This window comes from Homo sapiens, chromosome 12 (assembly GCF_000001405.40).
Source record: "Homo sapiens chromosome 12, GRCh38.p14 Primary Assembly".
Taxonomy (NCBI): Eukaryota; Metazoa; Chordata; class Mammalia; order Primates; family Hominidae; genus Homo; species Homo sapiens.
The window spans coordinates 113,842,916-113,868,131 of record NC_000012.12 but is presented as its reverse complement, the minus strand read 5'-3'; the positions used below and the strand labels follow the sequence as shown (position 1 = coordinate 113,868,131).

Sequence of the window (25,216 nt, the reverse complement as noted above, 5' to 3'; positions counted from 1 at the left end):
CCCACAGAGTTACTGAGGACGCATAAGAGTAATACATGGACTATATTTAGCACAATGCCTGGCCTGCTGTGTGCTCTTAAATAAAGGGTGTGACTACCGAAGGTGCCTGCGATGGAACAGGAGAAAAAATACTAGAATGTCCATTTCTACTTAGGTTTTATTTCATCCTTCTACATTTCCTATTTATTTATTTATTTATTTATTCAGACAAGAGTCTCACTCTCAACCAGGCTAGAGTGCAGTGGTGCAATCTCGGCTCTCTGTAATCTCCACCTTCCGGGTTCAAGCAGTTCTCCTGCCTCAGCCTCCCCACTAGCTGGGCTGTTTACAGGTGTACGCCACCATGCCTGGCTAATTTTTGTTTTGTGTTTTTAGTAGAAATGGGGCTTCACCATGTTGGCCAGGGCAGTCTAGTACTCCTAACCCCAAGTTATTCACCCACCTTGGGCTCCCAGAGTGCTAGGATTACAGGTGTGAGCCACCGTAGCTGGCCTTAAATTTCCTAATTTTTATTTAAAGATTTACAAAGAGAATGAAATAGCAGTACATATGCATATTATTTATCAGTTTTAAACTGTACATATATTGGAGATGCATGCTGAAAACTATTTTGCTGAGAGTGTGCACCAACCCTGGGTTGGAGGGGATTGAAAACCACCGGCTTAAAATCCACGCCCCCTGGAGGCCGGAGCACATCAGGTCCACATTTCTTTCCCAGCCCAGAGCTTGGTGCCTGCACAGAGGATATGCTTGGGAAATATTTGCCTGGTGATGATTGCAGGATCCATAGTATCTGAATGATGAGTCCCATGAAAATTCCTACCAAGCTTCAAATTGTGATTTCGGTGCTGGAGATTGGCGAGGGATGATTCAATTCATTCATTAAGTGTAGCCACAAATGTGTTCACATCTGAGGTAGATGCTGTGCAGCAAATTGCCATGGCAAGACCCTCTCTGTCCCCAAGGAGCTTAGAATCCTGCAGAGGCTACATGATGTGAACACAACTGAGAGGGCTGGTAGGCTGCAGGGGCCAAAGGAGAGGTCAGAAAGACCCTGTTGCTTGTCCCAAGACCTAACCCCAGGTCATAAGGAGGTAAGAGGATTCCTTATTTAGGGATATAGACCAGCTCTTATGATCTCTTGAAACCAAAATCAGAATGGAGCCCAAATGTAGGACGTGGTACCCAAGGCAGCCCACAGACTCCTTCTGTTGTTTTTGGCAACACGGTGTCTTGACTTTGTTACCAATATTTTAAAATCTCATTTCTTAAAATAATCTGGACCACTAGCTTCTTTGGAAGAAGGGGAAGATCTGCTAGTCCTGGGCCCAGATGTCCACCTGGCTATCTAGCTTGGGGCTGAGTGGCCCCTGTCCCTTCCAGTGGGGCAGTGGACCTCAACCCTGAGCAGGCCCACACTCACCTAGAGGGCTTGGTGCAGCCCCTGAGCTGATCCAGAAAGACAAGAGGAGGGCAGAACATTGCATTTTTGACAAGCTCCCTGGTGATGCTGATGCTACCAGTCCAGGTATCAGTCCAGGCTGGAAATGATTTGCCCAGGTTCACCCAGTTGGTGAGGGCAGAGCCAGGCCAGGAGCCTACTTTTTGCATGCCAAATCCGCCCCATCCAGAGCCTCTCAGGAGAGTCTGTGGGTTCCATCTGAAACGCAGGCCCTGACTCTGATTTAGAAATACCATTTAAGTGCTCATCCCTGGGATTTCTCATCTAGAAAATGAGAGAGGGTCATGCTTGCCTGGAAAGGACCCCAAGGAAACGCTATTGAGAAAAGCTAAAGGCCCTCCTCCACACCTCTTTTTTTCACTTTCTTGGAATCTAGGCCATTTTTCAGCCTCCAGGAGGCAAAAATGAAAGGGAATATTGCGTTGATGGTGATAAGGTAACCTTTCTACACCTGGCTCTCACCATGATGAGCAGTAGCTGGAGAAGTTCAGTCTAAAAGGCACTCTAAGAAGGGAGAGCAAGAACAGAAGAGGAAGAAACTCCACTCCTAAATATGCCTCCATTAAATGGCTTCCAAAGCCATTGCCTCTTGTCAGAGCAGGCTTGACCCTGCACTTTGTACACACTCATCAACATAACCTTCTGCGGGAGAGAAAACATCTCAGTGCAGGGCAAACCATGCTGAAACTCCTTATTTGTGTCTGCATCTTGGCCAGGGTTGCCTGTGAAGGAGCCAGTGTCTTCTCGTTCCCACCAAGCAGCACATGATTTGAACATCATTATCCAGACAGTATTCCCTTGGTAAATGATCTAGCTGGCCCCCCTGCCCCCTTTTTTTTTTTCTTGCTGTGATGATTCATTGCCTGGAAGGAATAAACATGGATACTTTGGAAAGAGTGTTGATTCTTGAGGACCAAATGCTCCTTGTAATAGCATATGGTTGCACTGCATAAAAGAGCATCATCCTATGGGACAGAAAGACTGAATATGTTGCCCCCAAGTGTGACTATGCTTCCACAAGAACATACAGTTATATGAGATAATGCATGAGAAGTATAGGGACCTGGCACTCGGGGAGATGTCAATAGATGATGAATTCATGATTAAATGAATGGATACAGTGTTTTCTGAGTGCTAGACACAGTCTCAGGTTCTGTAGACACAACAGAGTATAAGAGCCATGACATCTTGGAGTCCACTTTCAGTCTCTAGCAAAATGAGAGGAAAGATAAATAAGTAAACAAGCCATTTCAGACAGTGCTCAGATGTGACAGGCAGGGGTGGGTGTGCAAAGGAGGCAACGTTAGATAGGATGGTCACAGAAGGCCTCTTTGAGGAGGTGGCATTTCAGCTGAGAATTGAATGGCAAGAAAGAGTCAATTGTGAAAACATCTAGGCAAGCAGGGTTCCAGGTGATACAAAAAGCAAGTGCAAAGGCCCTGAGGTAAGCATACGTTTGGTGGGTTCAGGGAATGGGGAAAGCCAGTGTGGATTCTTCATAGTAAATGAGGGGGTGCAGGGCATGAGATAAGATTGGAGAGCAAGAAAAGTATGTCTGATCAGGCACAGCCTTGATTCCCAAGTAAGGAGCTCAGAAATTATTCTAAGGATGCAAAAACCATTAGAGAGTTAAGCAATTTGGAAGAGATGATGACTGGCACATACACACAGAACTCCAGGCAGTAGTGGCCATTGAAACCCACTGTGGGAATGGTGATGACTGACAGATATTCATGAAACTGGGGACAGTAGTAGCCATTGAAACCCACTGTGGGAGTGGCGATGACTAGCACATATTTGTGAAACTTGGGGCACTAGTACCCATTGAAACCCACCAGACTGATTGGATTAGCCTCTGTTAGAGAGTTGGATGAGACAGGCTTGAGACAAGCCCTCACCAAAGGCTTTAGTTTGTATGTATCTCAGGAAAAGTGAGAATTTTAGATGATAGTTCTGTTCCCAAGCCTCCCTCCACTACAGAAATTGCCCATTATAGATGAAGGGATAGGTTTGTTCCTAGCTGTGCAGTTGGTCTATCTCTCCAACTTGCCACAACTGGGGCCCTTGGCCACATGGGAACTCTGTAAGGGAAGAGGAATGTGAGACAGGACACCATGCAAGGCAGCTGCCATCTTACCATATTTCTTGCTCAGTGGGAATGGTTCCATGGGTCCATAAGTTCACTGGTGGGGCCCTTCTTTAGGATGGGGCCAGGGGAGCAGTAAGCAAAGATCAGGCATCCTCAGCTCTATACCTTTATCAGTTGAGATAAGTGGCTTTATCCCATAGTCTTCTTGAGCATCTGAGGAAGAGGGGAGGGAGCTCACTGGCTGCTTCCCAGCTAAGAGGCTTCCCATGCAGCTGCCCCCAATCAAGGTGAGGGCAAGGTTAATACTTGACCTGCTGGTGACTCCCTCCCTGCACTCTGCATCATCTTTGGCTGCTTGTAGATAGGTGGACCAATCGTGTGAGCTCTTAGCAAAGCATAGACCTGTGGGGCACACCGCCTACTTTGAGCCTAGCTAAGCCTGATGCTGCCCATGGAACCTTGGGCAAGTCACTTCGCCTGTTGTGGTAGGTAAGGGCTCACCGAGACCTTGGAGAAATCATGTTCCTTCTTTGAGCCTCAGTTTTCTCCATCTAGGAAATGGGATTGACATTGCTCAGCTCACATGGGCCTTGTGAGTTCATGTCCAGCAGGTGCTAACATGCTGCAGGGCACGTAAGCGCTGAGGAAGTACCCAGTGAATGGACAGATGTGCGTGTATGTGCATCATGTGTGTTAGAAAATTGGTAGGGGTGGCATATTTGAAAGGCTTTTTAATGCCAAGAGATTGAGCTATTTTTTCTTACCTCTAGAAGGAGCAGAAGAAGCTTGTAGTTTATTCTTATCATGAAACCACCCCTTCATCTTGTTCAGATCACACCGTTGTTCTGATTCTGGGTCTCTTAGGTGGCAGCAGACTTTCTTTTCTCAACAATGCCTTGGGTGCAGGTGGGGAGAAGTTATGCCAGCAAACTCCCCCACATGACTCAGCACTTCTGCTGGGATTCTGGTTCTTCCAGCAGATCCGAATAGTGAGGGGGACTTATGTCCTGGGAGCAGAAGGCCCTAGGTTTGACCCCCACTTGGTGCCAGCATGCAGGCTGTGGGGTTAAGCAGGACTCCCAGCCTGCCCAGGCTCCAGGTACCAGCACAGCTGCAAAACTGTCCAGCTCCGCATCTCTGGAGGGTTCTCGCTTCCTCTGCTCCAGCCTTCCTCTCACTTCTTTCCCCCTGAGCCTGTCGCTTCAGTCAGGGAGGGAGAGAGAGACCCAAGATGATTCATCCCTTTTCGGTAGCAGCTGCTGGCCAGGGCTGGGGCAAGACCAGTCAGGGGGCACGCAATTTGCACGGAGAGAGGAAATCCCCACCCACCCATACGCTGGCCCCACACACACACACACACACACACACAGACACACGTATTGTGTCTGCCTTCAGGCCTGTGTGCAAACACGATTTCCATCCCCCGACTTGTTTATGAGTGCTGGGCATAATTGGCTTGCCTCATGCAACACCTCGGAGCCCCATCCCACCTCCTCCCCCCTCCTCCCTTCTCTCCCCCCACCACACACCTCAAAAGAAATTAGAAACGTGACAACAAACTCTAGTTGTGGAAAACCCACAAACCCACCACCAATCATGTTCCTGGCATGGCAGAGGGGGTGGGGCTGCAGGGTGGGGGAGTAATTGGTGAACCCAGGGTGAATGAAATAATTGGAAAAGTGAGGTGTGAGTTTGTTACCGAAGTGTGAGCCTGGTGGGGGAGGGAAGGAGGGCTGTGTTTAAAAGCCCGGTATGTCCTCTTTATTCACAGCTTCTGATACAGTAATTGCTACTTTGTGGTTTCTATTATCTGCACAGTGGGGAGTGTGGTGTGCATCTCCTTCCCCCCGAGCGGCAGAGTTGGGCTCAGGGAGGAGTTCCTGGGTGCCCTGTGATTTTCTTCCTCCCCAGTCCCTGGTGGCCCTGCGCAGCTTCGCCCCAACACTGGCCTCAGCTCCCAGGAGACAAAGGTTCATGCACAACTTCCTTCAAAAGCTGCTCTTAAAAACAGCTTCGTAGACCTTGCTGTCAGATAAGAACCTTAATAATGGCTGGTATTTATATATCGCTTATCTCCAAGGAGCTAAAGGTACTTCATCGATTTCTTCTCCCCCAACCTTTTTTTTTCTTTTTAATTCTCTTTCGATAGCTCTCTGAGATCATTAGTATTGGCCTTATATGATCCCACACCGTTATACAAGCAACCAAGCCACTCACTGTCCAGCTTTGTTCTTGGGCTGGGAGAAGCAGCCCGGATGAGAAAGATCTCGCCTCGATTTTGAGTTCCTGGGGCCATGAGACATGGGCAAGTCGCTTTTCTTCTCCGTCCCTTGGTTTTCCCATCTGTAAAACAGAGGCATGGATATGATGTATTTAAAAGACTGCATATTGCAGGCACTCATTGGTAGCGGAAATGATGGCAGCAATGATGGTGTCTTGAAGCCTCATCCATGCATTTCAGGAAGTGTCCACAGACATCGGGAAGTTCCTTCTAAGATCTAACCCTGATCTTTCAGCTCCTCCTTAAGCTTCAGTTCTCTCATGTCCTGTTCTTAGAAGGAGGAAAGAAACCTGCTCACTGTAGCCATTTCTCTGACTCTGAAGAATAATAGGATTTCTGAAGCTTCTAGAGTCTTTGTGGGTGGCGTTTCATTTGTCATGCTGATGTCTGCCTGGAAACCCCCAACCACAGCTGTGACCTCCCCCAAGGCCCTTCAGCTGCCTGGGATGGGATCCCCAGCTCCCTGATCCCTGCCTACGATCCCTGGTAGATCCAGGGTGCCCTTCTGTCCCAGCTTTCCCTGCTGAACTCTCAAATGCCACTTTTGCAGGCCACAAAAGCATGTCTTCTGTAGCCTCTCCTCAACAGCGTTTTTCTCTACCTTTTAATTATTTTTCTCGCCTTTCTCCGGACCCTTAGCTGCTTACCATGCACAGAGCATCCACAGCTTGCAGTGTGCTGCAGAGAGGGAGGAATTAACCCCAACAGTCTCTTTCTCTCTCTCTCTCTTTCTCTCCTTCTCTCTTTCTCTCTCACACCACCACCCCCCGACCCCTTCTCTCCTTCACACACACACACACACACACACACACACACACACACACAGAGTCTGGCTTACCAGAAATCTGGGCAGAGGTCATTGAGACCATCAAGGGATAGGAGATTATAGCCCTTGTGGGCAGAAGTAGAGGGTTTGCACACAGTGTGGGCAGAAGGAACTGGGACTCGGTCTACCCCCACCTTGCCTGGTGGTCTTAGGGAAGTCACTGGACCCCTGGGAGTCCACACAGGGCATTCCTAGCCACCCCGTATGGGGCCTTCCTGCTTCACCTCAGACCTGGCCGAGACTCGGGAAGAAAGAGGCCCCAGCTCTTGCAAGTGGCCAGTCCCCGTCCAGATGATGCAAGCGGGTTGAGTCATTGTGCAGCAGAAAGAGAGCTTGGGCTTAACGTCAGACATGCCTGGATTCACATTCTAACCCTGTTGCCTGTGAGGAAGGATCCCTGGCTCCCAGAGCCTTGGTTTCTTCATCTGTAACATGGGAATGATAAGGCTAACAATAGTTCACATTTGTGCTATGTGTATTTCATTTCACCCTCATCACCGCCCTCTGAGGGTAGGTGTAATTTACCCGTGGTAATGTCTACCTTCCAGGGCTACCATTTGCTTGTTTATTCGTTCCAAAACACCTTCAGGCTTCTACCCTGAGCCCGACTCCTGGGCTCACTGACACAGGTCCAGTGATGAGCAAGATAGATGGGGCCTGGACTCTTGCGGAGCTGAGCCCTAGCCCTGGCCAGGGAAGGCATGCACCCCACAGAGCCCTGGTCAGGGGGCACAGTGAGCGGTGACACTGTGGATGGGGGCAGTCACCCCAGCCTCCAGGGGTCAGGAAAGACATCTCGGGGCTAGTGCAGTTAGGTGAGGCCAAGGCACGGACAGAGGAACCAGCTCACCCAGTGGCTGTCTATGGCCGTGTTGAGAAAGCACCCAGCCTGGTCTTCCATGTGCCTCTCAGTTGCCTCATACCAGCTCTGAACGCTCTCAGGCTCCAGCCCCTTAGCTGCCGGATGTGCCATCCCTGTAGTCCCAGTGGGCTTCTGAAGACTTGGACCCAAAGAACCATTCATCTGAACGAGCTTACAAGAAAATTTGTCCACGCCCTTCCCTCCCTGTTCAAAGCCAGCATGGCAGAGGGGCTTTGGTGGAGGGAAGAGAGACTGTGTCTGTCATGGGATGCATCCGCCTTTAGGTGGCAGAATGAAGTAGGGTTTGTGGGCTTGACTCCTCAGCTCTCCAACCTCACCTTGTCCCCACCTGCCCAGCCTCTGGTCCCCAGCCCTGGCCCCCCTCCAGCAGGGAAACCTGACCGGGCTCCACTCCCCACGTTCCTGGCTCCTTCCCCTCCCCGGGAGGCTGGCCTTGTCACCAGTGCCTCTCTGCCGTTTCTCGTTGCCTGCACAGAGGAGGCACCAGGAGGGGGGAGCAGAGCTGCTGGGGAGAGCTCCGAGGAGACGTGCAGATTCATTTTGAGGATTCATAATGCCGCATTTACACACTGTCCTGCCTTCAGAAATTGGGCTGGCAGATGCCTGGTCATGCTGGCAGGGCTGTGGGTTAACACTTCGGATTTAGCTTATATCATTTCACGAGAGCTTACGGCCTTTACTGTGTTTTTTACCCAATCAGTCTTTGGCCCCGAAGCATCCTAGACCATCGTGCATATGTGTGTGTGCCCAGGCAGCCGCAAGTGTGTGTAGATTTTCAAATAAAATAATACCTCTCTTCAGATGCCGTGCACATTAAATATTTATCGGTAGCAATTTGTGCATATATATTTGATAAATGGACATTAGAAAGGGATTGGGAGGTGGGAAGTGAGACAGGGAGGCAAGGGAGGCCTGAGAAAGCCCTATCCCTTTGTCCTACAATTTCTCAAAGGTTTAACCTGGAGGAGAGGAGAGAAGGGAACCGGGGGGGATGGTCCAAGGCCGTGGTTACCAGTTTGATCCCTATCAGGAGGAGCCAAGCCATTTTCTTCTCCAGAGCTTTGCCTGACTTTGGCTTAGAAGATATCGAAATGAAAGCTCACAGGGAGGGGAAGCAGGGTTTAAAGGGAGTAGCTGCGTATCATTTGAGCGCTGAAGAAATACATGTCCCAGGTCCCAGGTCCAGGAGAAAGGGCCCCATCCCATTTGCTCAGCCTGGGGTCGCCATGTGCTCAGCTCAGACATACAGGCAGTTTGGAAAGGTCAGGCAACCCTGCTGATCACATGTCCAGAGCCCCTACTAGCACACATGGGCAGCCCCTTGCCCTGGCCAGGCCCCTCAACCGGAGCCTGGCTGCTTGTGTACTAGGCAGGGTCCTCCCCAGTGCATAGTTACCCCACAGGGAAGTGGGGCCCCATGGGGGCAGGGAGTCTCTAGCTGGTTGCAGAGGAACTAAAAATTCTCCATTCACATCTCCAGCCTGATTGTTCCCTCCCTGCCCTGCCTGATGGCCCGGGCCTGGGAGGAGAAGGCTGCTCATGCCCCTGAGCTGACATGTGTGAGCGTGTGTGTGCCTGCATGCACTTGTCTTTTATAACCCAAAGGGATTTACATGTGAGAATCAGTCCTGCCTTCCCGACCTCCCTTGCGGGCCTCTATTCTTAAACCCCTATGTCTTGCCTTTTGTTTCTAGCACCTTTGGGGAGTTGAAGACGGTCCGCCTGCCAAAGAAGATGACTGGGACAGGCACACACAGAGGCTTCGGCTTTGTGGACTTCCTCACCAAGCAGGATGCGAAGGTGAGACCGTGAATCCCTTCCCCACCTGTCCAGGCCTCCCCTTTCCAGTACCCATTGTAGGAGAGACAGCCAGGCCTCTAACACACACAGAGTCACCTCCCCATGCAGGTGTTCTTTTTTTGCCTTTGTTTCTGCTTAATGTGTACAACATCCTTGGAGAAGATCCTGGGGGGTTTGTATTTGGAGGAAGGGGCAGTTTCTGTGTCCCCTTCCCTCCCCTAGTTTCACATATGCAGGAACCTGGGACATAAACTGGGGATGGGAAGCAAATGGGTTTCCCAGGCCTCTCCACGTCATCAAGAAAATTCCTCAGTTCAGGTGGCCCCCTGGGGTAGGCAGTATGGGAAATGCCACGCAGAACAGTGCAGAGAGGGCAGGGCGCTTGGAGAGTAGGAGACACCCAAGAAGCAGCCACGGGAATGCGTCTTCCCCTTCCTTTTTTCCGCTCATGGCCAGGGCTTCTGTTTTGTGCTGGTTATCTGTGAGGGCAGCCCCTGCAGGTGCAGCTGCATGCAAGCGTGCATACCGAAATCCCTCCAGGCTCCTTGAGAACCTTTTATTTTTGAAGCAAGGCGGCATCTCCAAATTGGTTCAGTACAGCACAGCCAGGCTTTGCTCCTGCAGTGGGTGCTGGGCCCAGCCTCCAATGTGGGGCAGAGGCTGTGTGAACAAGAGCCTGGCTGTACCCAAAGCCACTGCCCTCGTGGCATTGAGCTCCAGGTCAGAATCCAGAAGGAATGTGGCTGCAGAGCTGTCACAGTGGGCTGCCTTCCGTGAGCTCTGCCCACAGGTGGCCTGTCCCCTCTCTCAGCCTCACTATTCCTCAAGGCTAAAATAAAGTGACAGGGAGGTCTCATTAATGGCTGGGATCCCCTTCACCTCTGACGAGCTGCTCCTCAGAAGAACAGTGAACATTTCCTGGAGTCACAGCCATTGGGCTTTAGCAGGCTGGCATCACAAGAGGCCCAGGGGGTGGGTCAGCTGTGCAGAGCCAAAGGTGGCAGCTCCAGGACACAGCTGTGGCCTTTGTGGGCCCTGGGAACATGCACAGGCAGAGAAGGCGCATGGGGACCCTCGGAGAGCCTCGCCAGCCACCTTTGTCTCCGAGTCTTGAGCTCAAGTGCCTGTTTTGTTGACACATGGCCATATTTGTCTGGACATCTGCTCCTCTCTCCTCCTGGCTGGCAGCCTTTCCCTCGCCTCTCATCAGAGACAGCAGGGGACACACCTTGCATGCAGCAGGTCACGGCCCTCACCCTCACAGCGGGGCAGGCACGTGGTGCCCTGTGTTGGCTCAGGGCAGCAGCGGAGGGCTGCCTTTCAGAGCTCCCACCCACGGCAGTTCAACCCACACTGGCCTTCCCTGTGCCACAGTTTTCTGATCTGTGAAACGGGAATGATGGCTGCGCCCCCCTCCCAGGGTTAGGGCAGGTGATGCATGGGAGACACTGACTCGGTCCTGGCATGTGGTGGGTACTCGATACCAGTACACCGTTTCCTTCTCATTGCCACCAGCCTGGTTCCCTTCAGAGCCACCCTTGGTCTATGGATTCGTGCACACATGTGATGCTCTGTGGATAGAAGAGAGTACAGGGCAGCGTCTTTTCTCCACTGCATTCCACTGAGCTCTGGGTATCCAAGGGGATTGGGCAGTGATGGTGTAGAAGTGTTGTCATCTGTCTTATATCAGAGTTCCTATAGGAGGCTGTGCTTGGGGGAGAAATGAGGGATTCACTCTCTGCTCCTAAGAAATGTCTCTTACAAAGAACAATGCAAGAGCTTGTTGTTACAATACAAACTTCAAAGCCAGACTGCCTGAGTTTGAACCCCAGAGCTGCCACAAATCTCCCGTGTGACCTTGGGCAAGTGACATCCTTTCTGTGTGCCTCAGTTTCCTCCCCTCGTAAAATGGTCACAGGGTTTTCCATATTTTCATAGAGTCATTGTGAGGTTTGGATGGGGTGATAATTTAGAACAGGGCCTGGCCCCTACATACGGGCTATTGGCTGTGATGAGGAGGCGGAAGGCATTGGTGGTGACAGTGGTGATGGTCTGAAATAAGAAAGGGTGTTCCCCTTCTTATTTGGCCACCCACTGGGCCTCTTTTCTCACCCACCCACTGGGCCTCTTGTGATGTCAACCTTAAATTTAAAGCCCAATGGGTGCACCTCCAGGAAACGCTCACTGCTGTTCTGAATGGCTTGTCAGAGGTGGAGGGGATCCCAGCCATTGATGAGAGCAGAGAGCAAAGGCGTTGGAGCCCCTTCACTGGAAGCCCTCTTTCAGCACCAAGAGGTTGATGCCGAGTTGACACAGCCCTTGGGACATGGAGGGTCCAACCAGGGCTGGGCCCCAGCCATGAGCCCTTTGACATGTCACCGTTGGCTAAGTTTTGCTCTTCAGCTTTATTAGGACAGAAGGTGGACTCCCAGGTAATCAAGGCAGTGAGTGCCATTGAGGAAGTTCACCAAGTGCCCAGGTGGCTCGCACTTGGCACACCCAGGCCCGGCTGTGGATGTTCCTTCTGAAGCCCAGCACAGCCCTCTAGTGATTTATGGAGGTGGCAGCTCCTCCCCCTCCATCCCTTCCCTGCCTTTACTCCGGGCTCTGGGAGGAGAAAGGGCAGCCGAGGACAGTACAGGCTCAACTCACAGCCTCTCCGGGACTGGCCCTTCTCCCCATCAGGTGGCTATTTCTGGCCCCTCCATCCCTGTAGTGACTTCCCTCTCCCACACTGGGGCTTGTGCCATGGAACGCACTCGTCTTCCAGGAAGGAGGAGCCCATCACAAGCACATCTTTCCTGCAAGGATCCCTTTGCTCTTTTTGTTTCCTAGGGAAGCTGCCATTGCTTTCTCCCTCCCCAGCTCCAGGTCTGTCTGGAGAACTTTATTGTCTTCTGAGTGGAACATTTAGCACTCTCCACTGACCCGTAGAATCGTCCACACTGCATATTAGTGAATAGGATTCTGAATATTGTAAATATCTAGTTAGCTCTTGAGGGTGGGCGTGAGTTTGAAGAGGGAGAGCAATACTGCCAGAGACATGGAGTCAAAAGCACTGGTGATCTTTTTTATCTCAGCAGAAGGAATTAGTGAGAACCCAGGGCTGGTAGAGGATCCTCCATGATCCCAGCCTCTCAGGGCCGGCTCCTGTGCATCCTCCCCCTGTTGAAGCTCTTAGGGAAGGAGATTTCCTTCAAAAACCCTTCCCAGGGCTCAGTTCAACCCTGACCCACTCAGATCCCCCGCCAAGGGCATTGATCCCATTTCCTGTCATGGCACCCTCGATGAAGATAAATAGTCGCCCCCTGTGTTGGCATCGGCCACCTCTTAAGCCAGGAGGTCTGCCCCAGCAATCGTCAGATGGGAGGAAAGAAGGGACCAGGATAGGCTGAAAGGAGGGGGCAGCTAAGCTCATTGTAGAAGTTGAGGCTGGAACAGGAATGGAGAAATGAATGGTTTCTGGGAGGGGCCAGTGCCGCGGCTTGCTCCCCGGTATCTCAACTCCCAGAACAGTGTTCTTTCCCCATCATCCACCAGTCCGTTTGCCTGCTGACAGAGGATAGAAGAGTTAAGGCATCCCCTCAACACCACAGTCCCTGCTGTGGCCCTGAGCACATGCCGTCTCCACCGTCCCCGAACTGAGGGGTTCTGAGTTGTCTGACCCTTCTCCATGAGACCCACGTCCCACTGTGCATATCCTCGAGGGCTCTGTGATATCTATCAAGCCCTTTTTGGATTCAGCACACATACCCCCAAACTGGAAAGAGAATCCTAGCCAGAGGCTCCTCAAAGGCTGTTGTGGCAGAGCTCAGAGTAACCAGGCAACTGATGATAATAGCAAGAGGCTCCCGCGAGCGCGCTGGCTTTGTATGTGACATTCACCACACTCGCACTGCCCCACCCCAACCTGTGGCAGCTCCAGCATCGGGTGGGAGATTTGCATCCAGTCTCCCTCCCCAGTCTCGCTGAGCATTTGCTAAACTCCAGCACTGAAGCCACCGTGGAGCCCTATGAATTGATGGGAAGCCCAGACCCCGGTCTGTTACTGAGCTGCTCCAGTGAACCGGGGGTGGGTCCTGACCATCTGCCCTCATCACGGGCCCTGGTGACCAGAGGCCTGCTCAGAGGAAGCAGGATCGATGAGCTGGCATATTCTCCCACTCTAGGACATTCTATCAGCCCCTGATGTCCCGGGCAGTAAATGTCAGTCCCTCTGAAAATGCTGGTGTTATCTAAACCTCCAGGTGTGATGATCCGGCATTTCTTAAAGAGCCTTCCCCACATGTGGAGGGAAGCAGGGGACAGAGGTTGATGGGGGAAGGAGAATGGGGGTGGTGTAGGAAGTCAAGGACTCAAGCAGGACTGCATCCTGAATGCAGCGGTCTCCTGGGTGGCCTGGGTCTACACCGTGTGCACGGCTGTCAGTTGTGTCATCAACGCCATGCAACCAGGGGACCACACGACCTGGAAGTTTCTAAAAGGGCAATATCTTTGAGTTGATAAAAACTGTCAACTTCTGGAAGCCCGTCTTTGGCAGGGATGGTGTAGGATATTTGCATATATAAGTTTTAATCCTCATGGGACTCTAGGAGATAGGTGGTAGGAGGCCATTTGACAGCTGGGAAACCAAGGCTCAAAGGGACAAAGTTGCTTGCTGAAGATCTTATAGTGGCACTTGGCAGAGCTGGGAAAAATCTAATTCCAAAGCTTGCATTCAGGGATTCCTCCTCCCTTCATTCACTGATTCACTTAAATTCTGTGTATCTCCACGCCAGGCTCTGGGTAGCTCCCCTTCTCCCTACCATGCCCACCACCTCTCACCCAGCCCTGACACCTCACCAAGGAGAAGGACTCTCCAATTAGAGGGACACTTTGGAGGAAGGCCAAGAGGTTGTCCCTTAAAACGTCTCTTGGGAACAAGTCCAGAATGAAATCAACTCCCCCCAGCCCCCAGAGGAGGAGTGGGCATTCAGTCAGCTGCCCCCACTAGCACACTCTACCGTGCTGCCTTCCAACCCTGCCAATCCCCAGGAGTAGCCTCACTGAGGAGGCAGCAGCCTTTCACCTGGGCAGCTATAATGGGGACTCCCTACCAGGTACACTCATCCCCATTGGCTGAGTGGCCACCAATAGCCATTGGGATTCCAGTTAGAAGCTGCCACCTCCTCTCTCTTTACCCAGACCGGGCTGGTCCTGAAGGAAGAAAGGAAGGGCAACACGGAAGGGGAAGACCACAAAGAATAGACTTGCAGCCCAGAAGCCAGAATATTAATTTTTTCCCATGCAATGTGCCTTTAATTTTTCCCTTCCCCAGGCCTGCCGTGCCTTTGTACTTTTGCAGTTGCAGCTGTTTTTATTTGCCACCGCTGCTGTTGTTTTAAAAGGTCTATTTTCACATGGAATGCTATCCAATTAGCAGAGCAATGTGTTGGCTTAAATAAACACTTGGGGGGAGCCAGCAGTAGGGAGACGCGATGGTGGTTGGCGTTGGCAGGCAGAGCTGTTCTCACTGTGGTAAACAACCACAGCTTTCATTGTAGGGTCGCACCAGTTAATGTCTCCTTCCTCATTTCTCACTTTTCCACTCTGCCAAGGGTTGGGGCAGAGGAAGGGATGTGGACATGTGGCCCAGGCCCTCCCCAGCCTGGGGGATGCCAGTGTTTTGGCAGAAGCTCGCACTGGGCCTCTCGAGGAGTGTTCTGTGAGCCTACTGTCTTCACCTGGCAGATTCTAGCCAAACAGGACCTGTAGTGGAAGGGACCAATGATGAGCGAGCCGGACAAAGCTCATTAAGGCCGGGACAGCCTTCCTCCTCGCCGGGTGCCCAGCGCACCCAGCACAGTGCTGAGCCGTGTTGTGTGCACAGTAAACCATCGCTATTAGATTGTCAGTGGCGTGCGTTCAACACGTTTGTTTAAACTGAGTGCAGAGGAGGAACGTGCTGCACGCTGGTTAGTGTGGCCTGTGACATCAAGCGGCCTCTTTGCAGCTGTGCGAACATGGACAAGGGACTTCAGATCCCTTTAGCCCAAGTGACTTGTCCCCACACAGGCAATAATAAGGCTGCCCTTGAGGCGTTTGTGAAGATGAAGCAGAATGTTGCATGCAAAGCATTTAACACAGGCTGTGGCACGTGACACCAAAGAAGTGAGGGTGGCTGAGTGTTCCTCTGGGCCCCCAGGGATCAGAGGTGCTGCAGCCTGAAACCTAGGTGTCCATTGTCCTGTGTGTCCCAAAATGTTAACCGAAAGCAAATTCAGGAATTGGAGTTTTGTCCCCACTTTTCTGTTCAGGTGTGCATGTGACGTGTGTGCGCTCATGACTGTTTTGTAATTGTGGGCTTTTTGCCAAGTTTTCTTCAGCAGAGCCCTGGAGGAATTGAAAATGTGTTTGAATCCCGAGCTTGCATTTCAAGGCAGGCTCAGCCAGCACACATGTATATGGGCTGAGACCTGGGATCAGGACAGGCTGCCCTCCTCAGATGGGCAGGTGAGCAGCCCTTGTGGCCAAGACTCAGTGCCAGGACGGACCCCCCTGCTAATTGTGTCCCTGGAGCTTCTGTGCGGACTGAGGACTGCACAGTCCTACAGAGATCAGAGTGAGAAGGACTCAGGTTCAGACGTCCTCATTTCAGATTTATCAGGCAGGCCGTACTAGTCATCAAGGAAAGGTAAAACTCCCAGCCAAGTTTGACAGCCTTCCTCCCTTTTAACAGCATTAAAATAATTTTTTTTTTTTTGAGACAATCTCGTTCTGTCGCTCAGGCTGGAGTGCAGTGGCATGTTCTCTGCTCCCTGCAACCTCCACCTCCTCGGTTCAAGCGATTCTCCTGCCTCAGCCTCCCAAGTAGCTAGGATCACAGACGTGCGCCTCCACACCCGGCTAATTTTTGTATTTTTAGTAGAGACGGGGTTTCTCCATGTTGGTCAGGCTAGTCTCGAACTCCTGGCCTCAAGTGATTCCCACCGCCTCGGCTTCCCAAAGTGCTGGGATTACAGGCGTGAGCCACCGCACCCAGCCTAAAATAATTTAAATTAAAAAAAAAAAAAAAAACTTTACCACAAATGGCACCAGCAACAGGTACCAGGAATTAGGCCCTTCCCATTATGCCAGGCGTTGGGCTAAAGGAAGAGTTGCTGTCTTATTTATGCTTCCCAGCAGCTCTGAGAGGCTGAAGCACCCCCATTTTGCAGTTGAAAAATTGAAAACTCAGAGAAGTTTATTGAAAGCAGCAGGCCCAGGCCTGTGCCTGAGGGGAGCCCAGAGCCTCAGCTGTCCGTGCTGCCCGTGGCCTTGTGGCTTGGTGCCCTTGGGTCCCTGGCATTGGCCCTCTCTCCCTAGTGGCTCTCTTTCCTCTCCCAGGGGTGCTATAAACTTGCAGAGGTCCAAAGTGTGTCCCACTTTTGTCTCCTCGTCTCATGTTTGCCTCACAATCAGCTCCCCAGAGACTTTGAGCCGAATCGCACTGAGCTGAGCGAGCTAGGGAATGAATGAATGAGAGGGAGAGGTGCCTCTTTGTCTGAAGAGTTCAGACAGCATCACCCAGAAGCTGACCCTGGATGTCTCTCCTAGAAGTTCACCCTCAGCTCCATGGTGTCATTTCTGGGAAGGGACCGGGATGGGAGTCACCCAAGATTGTGCAGGGAGCTTAACTTATTCTGGGCAAACTCCTGCCTAGCAGACAGCTACCCTGTGAGGATGGAAGCAGCTAGTGAGGTTTGCTGAGAGCTTACTCACAGGACAGTGGGAGCCTTGGGACCGAAGGAAAGGATCTATCTCTCTCTCAGGGTGATGGCGTTAAAACACCCCAGGGAGGCAGACCCTCCTCCCAGAAGTCCTTGGCCTCAATTTTTTGACCACCTCTGCAGAGAGCCCCCAACAGTGCCAGCCACTTACTCTAGGTGTTGGGGGCACAGCAGGTTTCGGAGGGGTTGATGTCGTCCTTGTTAGGACAGATTTATCGTCTGCTGAGAGATGCAGCCCTCTGGCTTTGCCAGGGACAGCTCCCTGAGGAGCAGAAGGGGCCAGGAGAATGCCTTAGAGTTCTAAAGACAGGAATACTGTCCTCAGCTCTGCCCAGAAGCCGTGGCCCTGGGCAGTTCTTCGCAGCCCCTTGGGATGGAAGTCCTGCCAAGGGCATGCAATGCCTTTTGTTGCTGAGAGGAGGTCTGTCTCCAGGGAAGCTGCAGAAAGGTCAGGCCCAGTGCTGCAATGGCAGCCTTCCAATGCCTTCCCAGTTCTTGAAAGAGGCCACCAGGCTGGGCCACAGTCTAGCCTGCAGCTGTCAACCCCACACCACCTTAGCAGATTGCCTTCTAAGGGAATTCAGAAAAGGCGGCAGGAGGCCAGGCCTCTTGATGCCTGGAGTCCATGGCTTGAGTCAGAGGAGCTCAAAGAGCTGTGATTTCAGGACAGCAGAGCCAGAGAGCTGGATCATGAGGGCAGCCCTGGAGTCTGGCTAGACCTGCTCAGAGCTTTCCTGGGTAGGCCTCAAATTCTGAGTAGGGCCAAGGCATGCGAGACACCCCATCTGAAGTAGGAAATCCACCTGTCCCCCGGTCAAGGCAAAGGGACTCCAGATCCTGCCAGGGATCTGGCAAGAAACAGAATCTATCCCCACCCCCAGGTGGTGTGAATGAAGAGGTATTTATGGAGGCATAGGTAGGGCTAAGGGATTCCCCAGGGATGGCGAAGCCCCCAGAACTGTCATCTCCCTTAGGCCAAGAGGAGGGTTGGAAGGAAAGCCAGGGCTGGAGCTGCTGAGGAGAGGCCTTGAGCAGGAGCTATAGCCCTGCAGGGAGGGGGAGGTACGCAGCACCAACCTCTCTCCTCCCTCTTCCCCTCTTTCCTCCAGTCTCCCAGAAGTGCCACCCATTTGCTTCACCTCAGTAGAAACCAGAGGCCAAGGGAGCCCTGGTCACACTGTGCAGAGTTGGCTCCTAAAGCGTAGAGGATGGGGGAGGAGGGACCAGGAATAATCAGCCCTGGCCATCAATGATGGCAGGAAGTGCTCCCAAGAGCAGAGGTGGCTTCTCTTCTGTGACGTTCGTTTTGCTGGACTCCTGCATCCTCGGGGTTCTGTGCTGGATCTTCAGGCCTCTCCAGCAGACCATCTGGGGGTCTGACATGCGATCTCTCGAGCCATAGTGGTGCAGGTTACTGTTCCCATCCTGCAAAGCCCCAAGCCAGGCATGTTGGGAGCAGAGCCAGACCCAAGATTATTTGTGTATCGTTTCAAAAGGCCAAATGTCCCACTCGTCTGGATGGTCAGGCACTGCCTGCTCTCTCAGAACGGGACATACTCCTATCCCCGTTGCGTTTGTAGTCTATAAAGTGCAGGGGTTTGAAGGGAACTGTGGCAGGACGTCTAAGCCAGCCCTGCGTCCCCAGCTAGGACCAGCCTAACCATCTACCCCAGTCTGGAGACGTGTTCTCAAGACACCCAGTGAAGGAGACGCCACAGTGTGCTTTGTGAACATTGACTGAGTGGCCTCTGCCCCAGCACCAGGCTGAGGATCTTAAGCATGGAGCGCCTTCCCTCCAGGGTTCAAGATTGAGTCAGGAAGACTGGCACACAGAAGGCATTATGGGGCAGGGAGCAGGTTCTGGAAACGGAGGCCAGGTGTCCAGGGCACAGGGAGGGTGCCTGGCTGTTGCCTGTGCAGGAGGAGCAGAACCCTCCCTGGGCCGTCTGTGTAAGGGGCCAGAGACAACGTGTAGAGGCCAAAAGGAAGAAGGAGAAGGAAGTTGACCTGCATACAAACCTTGGCCAGTGCCTCAGTTTCCCATTCATTGAAATAGGAGAATAATGTCTGTTCTCAGGAGTAGGCTGAGGTCATATGCTTGGAGTGCCGTGGAGCTAGGAGATAGGATCATCCATGCTAAGAAGGCCTTCGATGCCACAAAAGGAAAATCAGACAGCAGGAGCCAGACTTGGAGAGGAACAAAGGTGCAGTAACTCCTCAGTCTCCTGAGATGAACAAGCCCAGGGGCTGTTTTGGCAGAGGAGCATCTTGCCCGCAGCTGAGGTTTAGAAAAACGCTTGGGAGAAGGTGGAGGTCAAGTTTCAGTGGGGTCAAGTGTAGGTAGACACCAGGGAGGGAGCTGCTAGTGGACCTCTCTGGCTTGTGCTTTTCCCTCTGTGATGGCTGGAACCTTCCAAGCTCCTCACAGTCTTTTCTGTGCCAACCCAAAAGCCCCTTGAGACCCGGGCCTGCATCTTCCTCCTCCTCCCCACCTGCCTTGCCCCTAGAATGTGTCAAATATAACAAGCTCTCGTTATGCTCTTTTAATGAAACACAATTACTCTGGATTATCCAAGGCCTATTTTAGCCTCAAATCACTGTCCTCACACTGCCTGCGACAGTTTGAGGCCACCACATTCCAGCCACCCAGGCAGTGGGCACTTGGGAATGCAACCTGATTTCATATTAACCTGCAGGGACTAGAACTCAGCAGGGTAATTCTGCTATTTTTGGAGAACCACGTATTGTGCTCTAACTTCAAATACAAAAGAGCTTTTGTGTCTTACCTTCCCTTCTCCCCACTCTTTAGCCTGATAATGAAAAGTGGAGGCATACATCATCATAATAACAGCCAATCTTAAGTGACACATGTTATGTGCCAGTGTTCTAAGTGTCAGACTTAACAGTTCTCTGAATTCTCACTACTCTTTGCTGCTGCCCTCCTTTTACATATGAGGAAGCTCGGGCTCAGAGAGGTTCAGCAGCTTGCCTGAGATCACACAGCTCATAAGCACTGGAGCAGGGATTTGAACCAAGGCAGGCCAGCAGCAGAGCCCACCCTCTAAACTGCCATGCCACCACCCCTCTTACCATGAAGAGCTCTTCCAGAGAGAGGCCAATAACGTGTCAGAGGAGTGCAGAGGGAAGAGAGAAAGATTTGTGAGAGGTGATGTCGCAAAGAAGCCAAAAGAGGGAATTTTTAGTGACTCCTGCAATGAATAGAGATCTCCTGGGCTTTCTGTGGTACGGGAATAGAGAACTGGCTTCCAAGGGAGAGAAAGAAACATTGAAATCTGACAGTGGGAAACAGAGAGGCTGGGGTTGGGGCCTCTCACCCGGACCTACCTCCTGGGATCTTATTCCGTTCTTGAGAGTTCCAGCCTAGCATTCACCAGATGCATCCCCTTGGCCACCCCCACCCCACCGTGTCCCCGGGACCACAGCTCCTCAGGGACCCTGGCACGAGGATGGAACATCCGCCACACCAGACTCCCCACCAATTCCTCTCCCCCATCTTAAAACCCCAGCTCCCCCAGTCAAGCCATTTCTCTGCCTCGCCAGCTGAGAACGCGTGTGTTTTAAAGCTCTGAATGGGCCATTTCGGCTCAGAGTCCAGATGCATTTTTATATCCACATGGAAAAAAATGCAGAGGCTCTGCTGGCAGTCAGAAAGAGTTTTTTAAATTAAAGTTAAAAAAAAAAGGAAAGAAAAAATTTTCTGCACCTGGTCCTTCACAGAACAGCACAGAAGAGAACAAAGCGTTTCTTTAATTTGGCTGCATGTCTAGTTTTAAAAAGATGCATGTTCTAGTCACCTCCCTTTTGTCTCTTCGGATTCATTTGTTTATTGAATGTGTATTATGTGCTGCCCTCTGTGCTCGTTTTGTGTAAATCTCACAGCCAGCCCCAATAGGGATGAGGAAACGGAGGCTCAAGATGTGGCAGTTGATTACCCAAGGGCATTGCGTCCTTTCCCTAGGGCTACTATAACAAAACGCCACAGACCGGATGGCTTCAAACCACAGAAATGGGCTGGGTACAGTGGCTCAGGCCTGTAATCCCAGCACTTTGGGAAGCTGAGGCAGGAGGATCACTAGAGTTCAGGAGTTCAAGACCAGCCTGGGCAATGTAGGGAGACCCCGTCTCTACAAAAAATTAAAAACTTAGCGAGGCATTGCAGCATGTGCCTGTGGTCCCAGTTACTCGGTAGGCCAAGGTGGGAGGATTGCTTGAGCCCAGGGGTTCGAGGATGCAGTGAGCCATGATCACACCACTGCACTCTAGCCTGGGTGACAGCGAGACCTTGCCTCAAAACACATTTTAAAAATCCAGAAATGTGTCTCACAGTTCTGGAGGCCAGAAGTCCAAAATCAAGGTGCTGGCAGGATTGGTTCCTTCCGAGGGAAATCCTGTTTGGTGCCTCTCCCCTGGCTGCTGGGGACAGTTGGCATCCTTGGTTTGTAGACTCATCACCCAGTCTCTGCCTCCATCTCCCCACGGCATTTGCCATGTGTCTCTGTCTTCACATGGCCATCCAATGACACTAGTCATTGGCTCAGGGCCTGCTGTTCTCCAGTATGACCTCGTCTTGACTGATTACATCTGCAGCTACCTATTTCCAAATAAGGTCACATACTGAAGCACAGGGGGTTAGGACTCAACATGGCCCCTCTTGCGGGACAGGGTCTGACCATAGGAGCTACAGTGTAGATAAGGAGCACAGTTGGATGGGTTCCCATCCAGACCCTTCCAGTTATATGATTCTTCACAGCATAAAAGAAACAAGAGCAGCAAACCCCTCCTCTTCTTGTACCCACTGGTGCTCTCTGCAACCCAGAAGCAAAGCAAAGGGCCTTCTTAGCCACCGTTGCTCTCCACTGCCAATGCTCAAGCACCTGGAGCCTACTGCTCTTTAAACTAATGCCTGCCCGAAAGCTGTCTGCTGAGAGAAAGCAGCTGCAAATGTGATGTCTACGGTAACAAAACAACAGCAACGAGAAGTAGCATCTATTGAGTAATTATGGTGTGCCCATACTGTTCTAGACGCTGTTAACTCATTTTTGTCCCTAGAACCCTTGAGATTGGCATATATGAACATACCCGTTTTATGGATAAGGAAACAGAGTCCAGGAAGATTTCTTTAACTTGCCCAAGATCTTCAAGTTAGGACCTGCGGGGTCTGTCCTTCCTGGTCAGGGTGACCTCAGACTCCAAGCTTTTGGCCACTAAGCTCACGGCCTCTCTGTGCCGTGGGAGTGTTTGGGGATGAGCCCATCAAGTTAGGGCGTCCCTGTGCAGTGCCATTGAACTTGAGACCTAGCGATGTTTAAGACGGTACTGATCACTACCGTATGATTCCGTTCCTATGAAATGTCCAGAATATGCAAATCCATAGAGACAGAAAGCAGACTGGTGGTTGCCAGGGGCTGGGGGACTGCTAGCTAAGGGGTGTGGGGTTTCCTTTGGGGGTGATGAAAATGTTCTAAAATTGATTTGATGACATTTTGCACAGCTCTGCGATTATACTAAAACGCATTGAATTGTCTTCAGACAAGCAGTGTATATAGTATGTGAATTCTGTCTCAGTATAGCTGTTAAAAAGCAGAAAGAGGGAACCAGGCAGCATGTGGGAGTCGGGAACAGCAAAGAGTAAGCGGGAACAGCCTGTGCCAGGACCCAGGCTGCTGAGCTGGGGGTGGGAGCTGGGAGCGGGAGTTGGGAGCGCAGGGCTGGGGGAACCAGCGAGGAAGCGAAGGGCACTGGCAGCAGAGACAGAAGGGGCCCCTTCAAGAGCAGCGTGGGGGACAGAGTCACCAGGGCAGTGAAGGAGAGCGACACCCAGTGACACCCAGAGGCCTGCACGCTTGTCATCCAGCAGCCGGCCAGGGCTCGGCTTTCTCAAGTGGCCGCCATGCAGACAGCCGGGTGGGAGGCGAGCCCACTAATGGGGTCGCCCTCCACAGATCGGATGACACACGGCAAATAGACGGCTGCCTCAGCCCAGGCACCAATTACAGCCCAGACGGCAGATATATTGACTGCTCAGTCACTTGCAGCTTTCTCCCTGGGAATGCAACCCACTAATTAAATAGATGTGCCCAACCGCTCCCCAAACCCTCGCTGGAGATCAGATGTCACGGGGCCAGAACCTGGGCTTTGGCATCTGAGACGCAGGCAGGCAGCTGGCAGGCAGAGTGGAGTGTCTGCCGCACTGATCCAGCTGATGTGCAGTTTCGTTTCTTGTCCCTCTGCAGAGAGCCTTCAACGCCCTGTGTCACAGCACCCACTTGTACGGGCGGAGGCTGGTGCTGGAGTGGGCCGACTCCGAGGTGACCCTGCAGGCCCTGCGGCGGAAGACGGCCGCTCACTTTCACGGTAGGAGCGGGACGGTCTTTTGGGCTGACTCATGGGCCCCCTGGGGAACACAAGAGGTGGGTGGGACATCTGAGAGAACTGCCCTCGACCCAGCAGGCTATGGGCACAAGGGCTGCCAAGCACCTCCTGCTGGGCATCCTCCCACAGCCCCTCCAGACCTGCTGTCCACCTTCCTTGGGCACTCCCTGCCGGGAGGCTGGCCTACATGGAAGCATCTGGGTTCTGTGCCCCTTTGGGTTGCAGTCGGGTTAGGTCACTGGGGGCCTTGGCAGGAAGAGACAGAGGTCAGAGTGTTTATCCCTCCCTGCCTGCCAGGTTGCCAGGTCACAGCTCGTGGCCGTTGGCTCTGTCCTCACAGTGCTCTGTGTTCAGATTCCGGTGTCCGCAGGGCAGGGATGCTCACGGCCTTCCTGGTGGCCAGCCCTGGGGACCACACTCTTGCTGATCACTTTCCTCCATGACCCGGTCCACTTCCTGCCGGAGGGCTGATGCCCACAGGTCTCACTCACCTCTTACCCACCTTGGTGGTGTCATGTGGCCTCAGTGACTATTCAGGTGGTGGCCAGAAAATACTGAGCGCCCGCTGTGACCTCATGCACCCACATGACAGTAACCAAGCAGGGCCCTAGGCTCAGGTGGAAGAGGCTGGGACACATTCCTCATCAGGTGGGCTAGAGAGGCTTCACTGCAGAGGTGACATCTGTACCCAACAAAGGGCTGCCTAAGCAGGAGGCCAGGGGCAGGGGAGACCCCCAGGTTGGAGCAAGCTCGGTATGTGTGAGAAACAGGGAGGACAGCATGGCTGGAGGTGAGGGGAGGAGAGAGGGAGCAGATGAGGTCAGCAGGGCCTCGTCTTCTCCAAGAGGTTGTGTTCAGTCAGGTGAGGAGAGGGTGAGACAGCCCCAAGAATCGCTCCACCCTGGACACATGGAAAGTATGGCAGGTGCCCCTTGCTGTCAGGTACACACCCTCCAAACTTGGGATATCAAGGGGTACTTGACCTTGATCCCCATCTCCACACCTCCGCCTCCCATCACAGAAGTGCTTCCACTGTGGCCTGGGCCCGGCAGCAAAAGGGCAGCTGCTGGCTTTCCACCCACTTTGGATCCCGCTTACTTGGCGATGGTTCACCCAGCTGGGGAGCTTCTCTGCCTTTTGCATGCCCAGAAAAGCCAGGCTCCGTGATGGGGAACAGTCCTGTCTGTGGTGCCACCCATGGTGCTCTGAGGTCTTCCTGGCACGCCACCGCATTCCTCCCCACCTCATTGTCGCCTGGGTCCCAGGTCTCAGGACCTTTCCTGGATGGAGCCACCATTGTGCCCTCATCCATCCCTTCTCTGTGGGGCAGCTCAGGGCCTCGGGTGTCACCTGGGTACAGACTAGGGGTGTTTGCTGCCAGCATCCCCCAACCCCACTTCTCTGCGTAGACATGGAACCTGGAGCCAGGAGTGATTATTCCCTCGCCTGACCGGTGCAGCTCTGTTGCCAAACCAGGCAGCACCTTGGGAACAGTTTCTCTTATGGAGATAGGAGCCTTCCAGTGGGGCCACTGGTCTTGCTTAGGGCGAAACGACTGGGCTTCTGAGAAGCAGCGTCTCAGCAATGCAGCAGGACTGCATCCCCCACAAGTGGACTTGGAACTCCAGAGATAGCAGGGAAGCCCCTTGATTCTAGCCCAGCTGCCACACGCTTCAGAACACTGCCTCCTGCCCACACTGTGGTCTTCCCAGACTCCTCCTTCCTCCCACCACA

General features: G+C 52.5%; 1 protein-coding gene and 1 long non-coding RNA gene across 8 annotated transcripts in view, besides 5 other annotated features; one reads left to right on the top strand and one right to left on the bottom strand.

The window, feature by feature from the left end:
* The window catches only part of RBM19 (RNA binding motif protein 19), a 149,586-nt gene that overhangs the window by 98,194 nt on the left and 26,176 nt on the right, over positions 1-25,216 (top strand). For all 7 annotated transcript variants that reach the window (XR_001748932.2, XR_944848.3, NM_001146699.2 and 4 more), the window contains 2 exons: positions 9,236-9,341; positions 23,344-23,464. Coding sequence is in view for 5 of the 7 variants with exons in the window: in NM_001146699.2 (NP_001140171.1) it covers positions 9,236-9,341; positions 23,344-23,464 (227 nt within the window). In the remaining 2 variants the exon portion in view is untranslated. The remainder of the gene's footprint in view (positions 1-9,235; positions 9,342-23,343; positions 23,465-25,216) is intronic.
* Positions 489-6,161, bottom strand: LOC124903025 (uncharacterized). Its single transcript, XR_007063468.1, has 2 exons — positions 4,316-6,161; positions 489-3,764 (listed from the first exon to the last, which is right to left on the bottom strand). It is a non-coding gene; the product is annotated as an uncharacterized LOC124903025 (long non-coding RNA).
* Positions 3,946-5,145: an enhancer, noted in NCBI's record as "MED14-independent group 3 enhancer chr12:114300792-114301991 (GRCh37/hg19 assembly coordinates)". NCBI's record gives its function as "activates an origin of replication core promoter dependent on BRD2, BRD4, P300/CBP and CDK7 cofactors, and independent of MED14, by STARR-seq in HCT116 cells {active_cell/tissue: HCT116}" and the evidence as "EXISTENCE:reporter gene assay evidence [ECO:0000049][PMID:35650434]".
* Positions 4,097-4,695: an enhancer, noted in NCBI's record as "H3K27ac-H3K4me1 hESC enhancer chr12:114301242-114301840 (GRCh37/hg19 assembly coordinates)". NCBI's record gives its function as "activates a minimal SCP1, AML or CMV promoter by ChIP-STARR-seq in primed H9 embryonic stem cells {active_cell/tissue: H9 hESC(primed)}" and the evidence as "EXISTENCE:reporter gene assay evidence [ECO:0000049][PMID:30033119]".
* Positions 4,827-4,936: a silencer, noted in NCBI's record as "silent region_4896". NCBI's record gives its function as "represses an Ori minimal core promoter by ATAC-STARR-seq in GM12878 lymphoblastoid cells {active_cell/tissue: GM12878}" and the evidence as "EXISTENCE:reporter gene assay evidence [ECO:0000049][PMID:35858748]".
* Positions 10,069-10,568: an enhancer, noted in NCBI's record as "H3K4me1 hESC enhancer chr12:114295369-114295868 (GRCh37/hg19 assembly coordinates)". NCBI's record gives its function as "activates a minimal SCP1, AML or CMV promoter by ChIP-STARR-seq in naive H9 embryonic stem cells {active_cell/tissue: H9 hESC(naive)}" and the evidence as "EXISTENCE:reporter gene assay evidence [ECO:0000049][PMID:30033119]".
* Positions 10,569-11,070: an enhancer, noted in NCBI's record as "H3K4me1 hESC enhancer chr12:114294867-114295368 (GRCh37/hg19 assembly coordinates)". NCBI's record gives its function as "activates a minimal SCP1, AML or CMV promoter by ChIP-STARR-seq in naive H9 embryonic stem cells {active_cell/tissue: H9 hESC(naive)}" and the evidence as "EXISTENCE:reporter gene assay evidence [ECO:0000049][PMID:30033119]".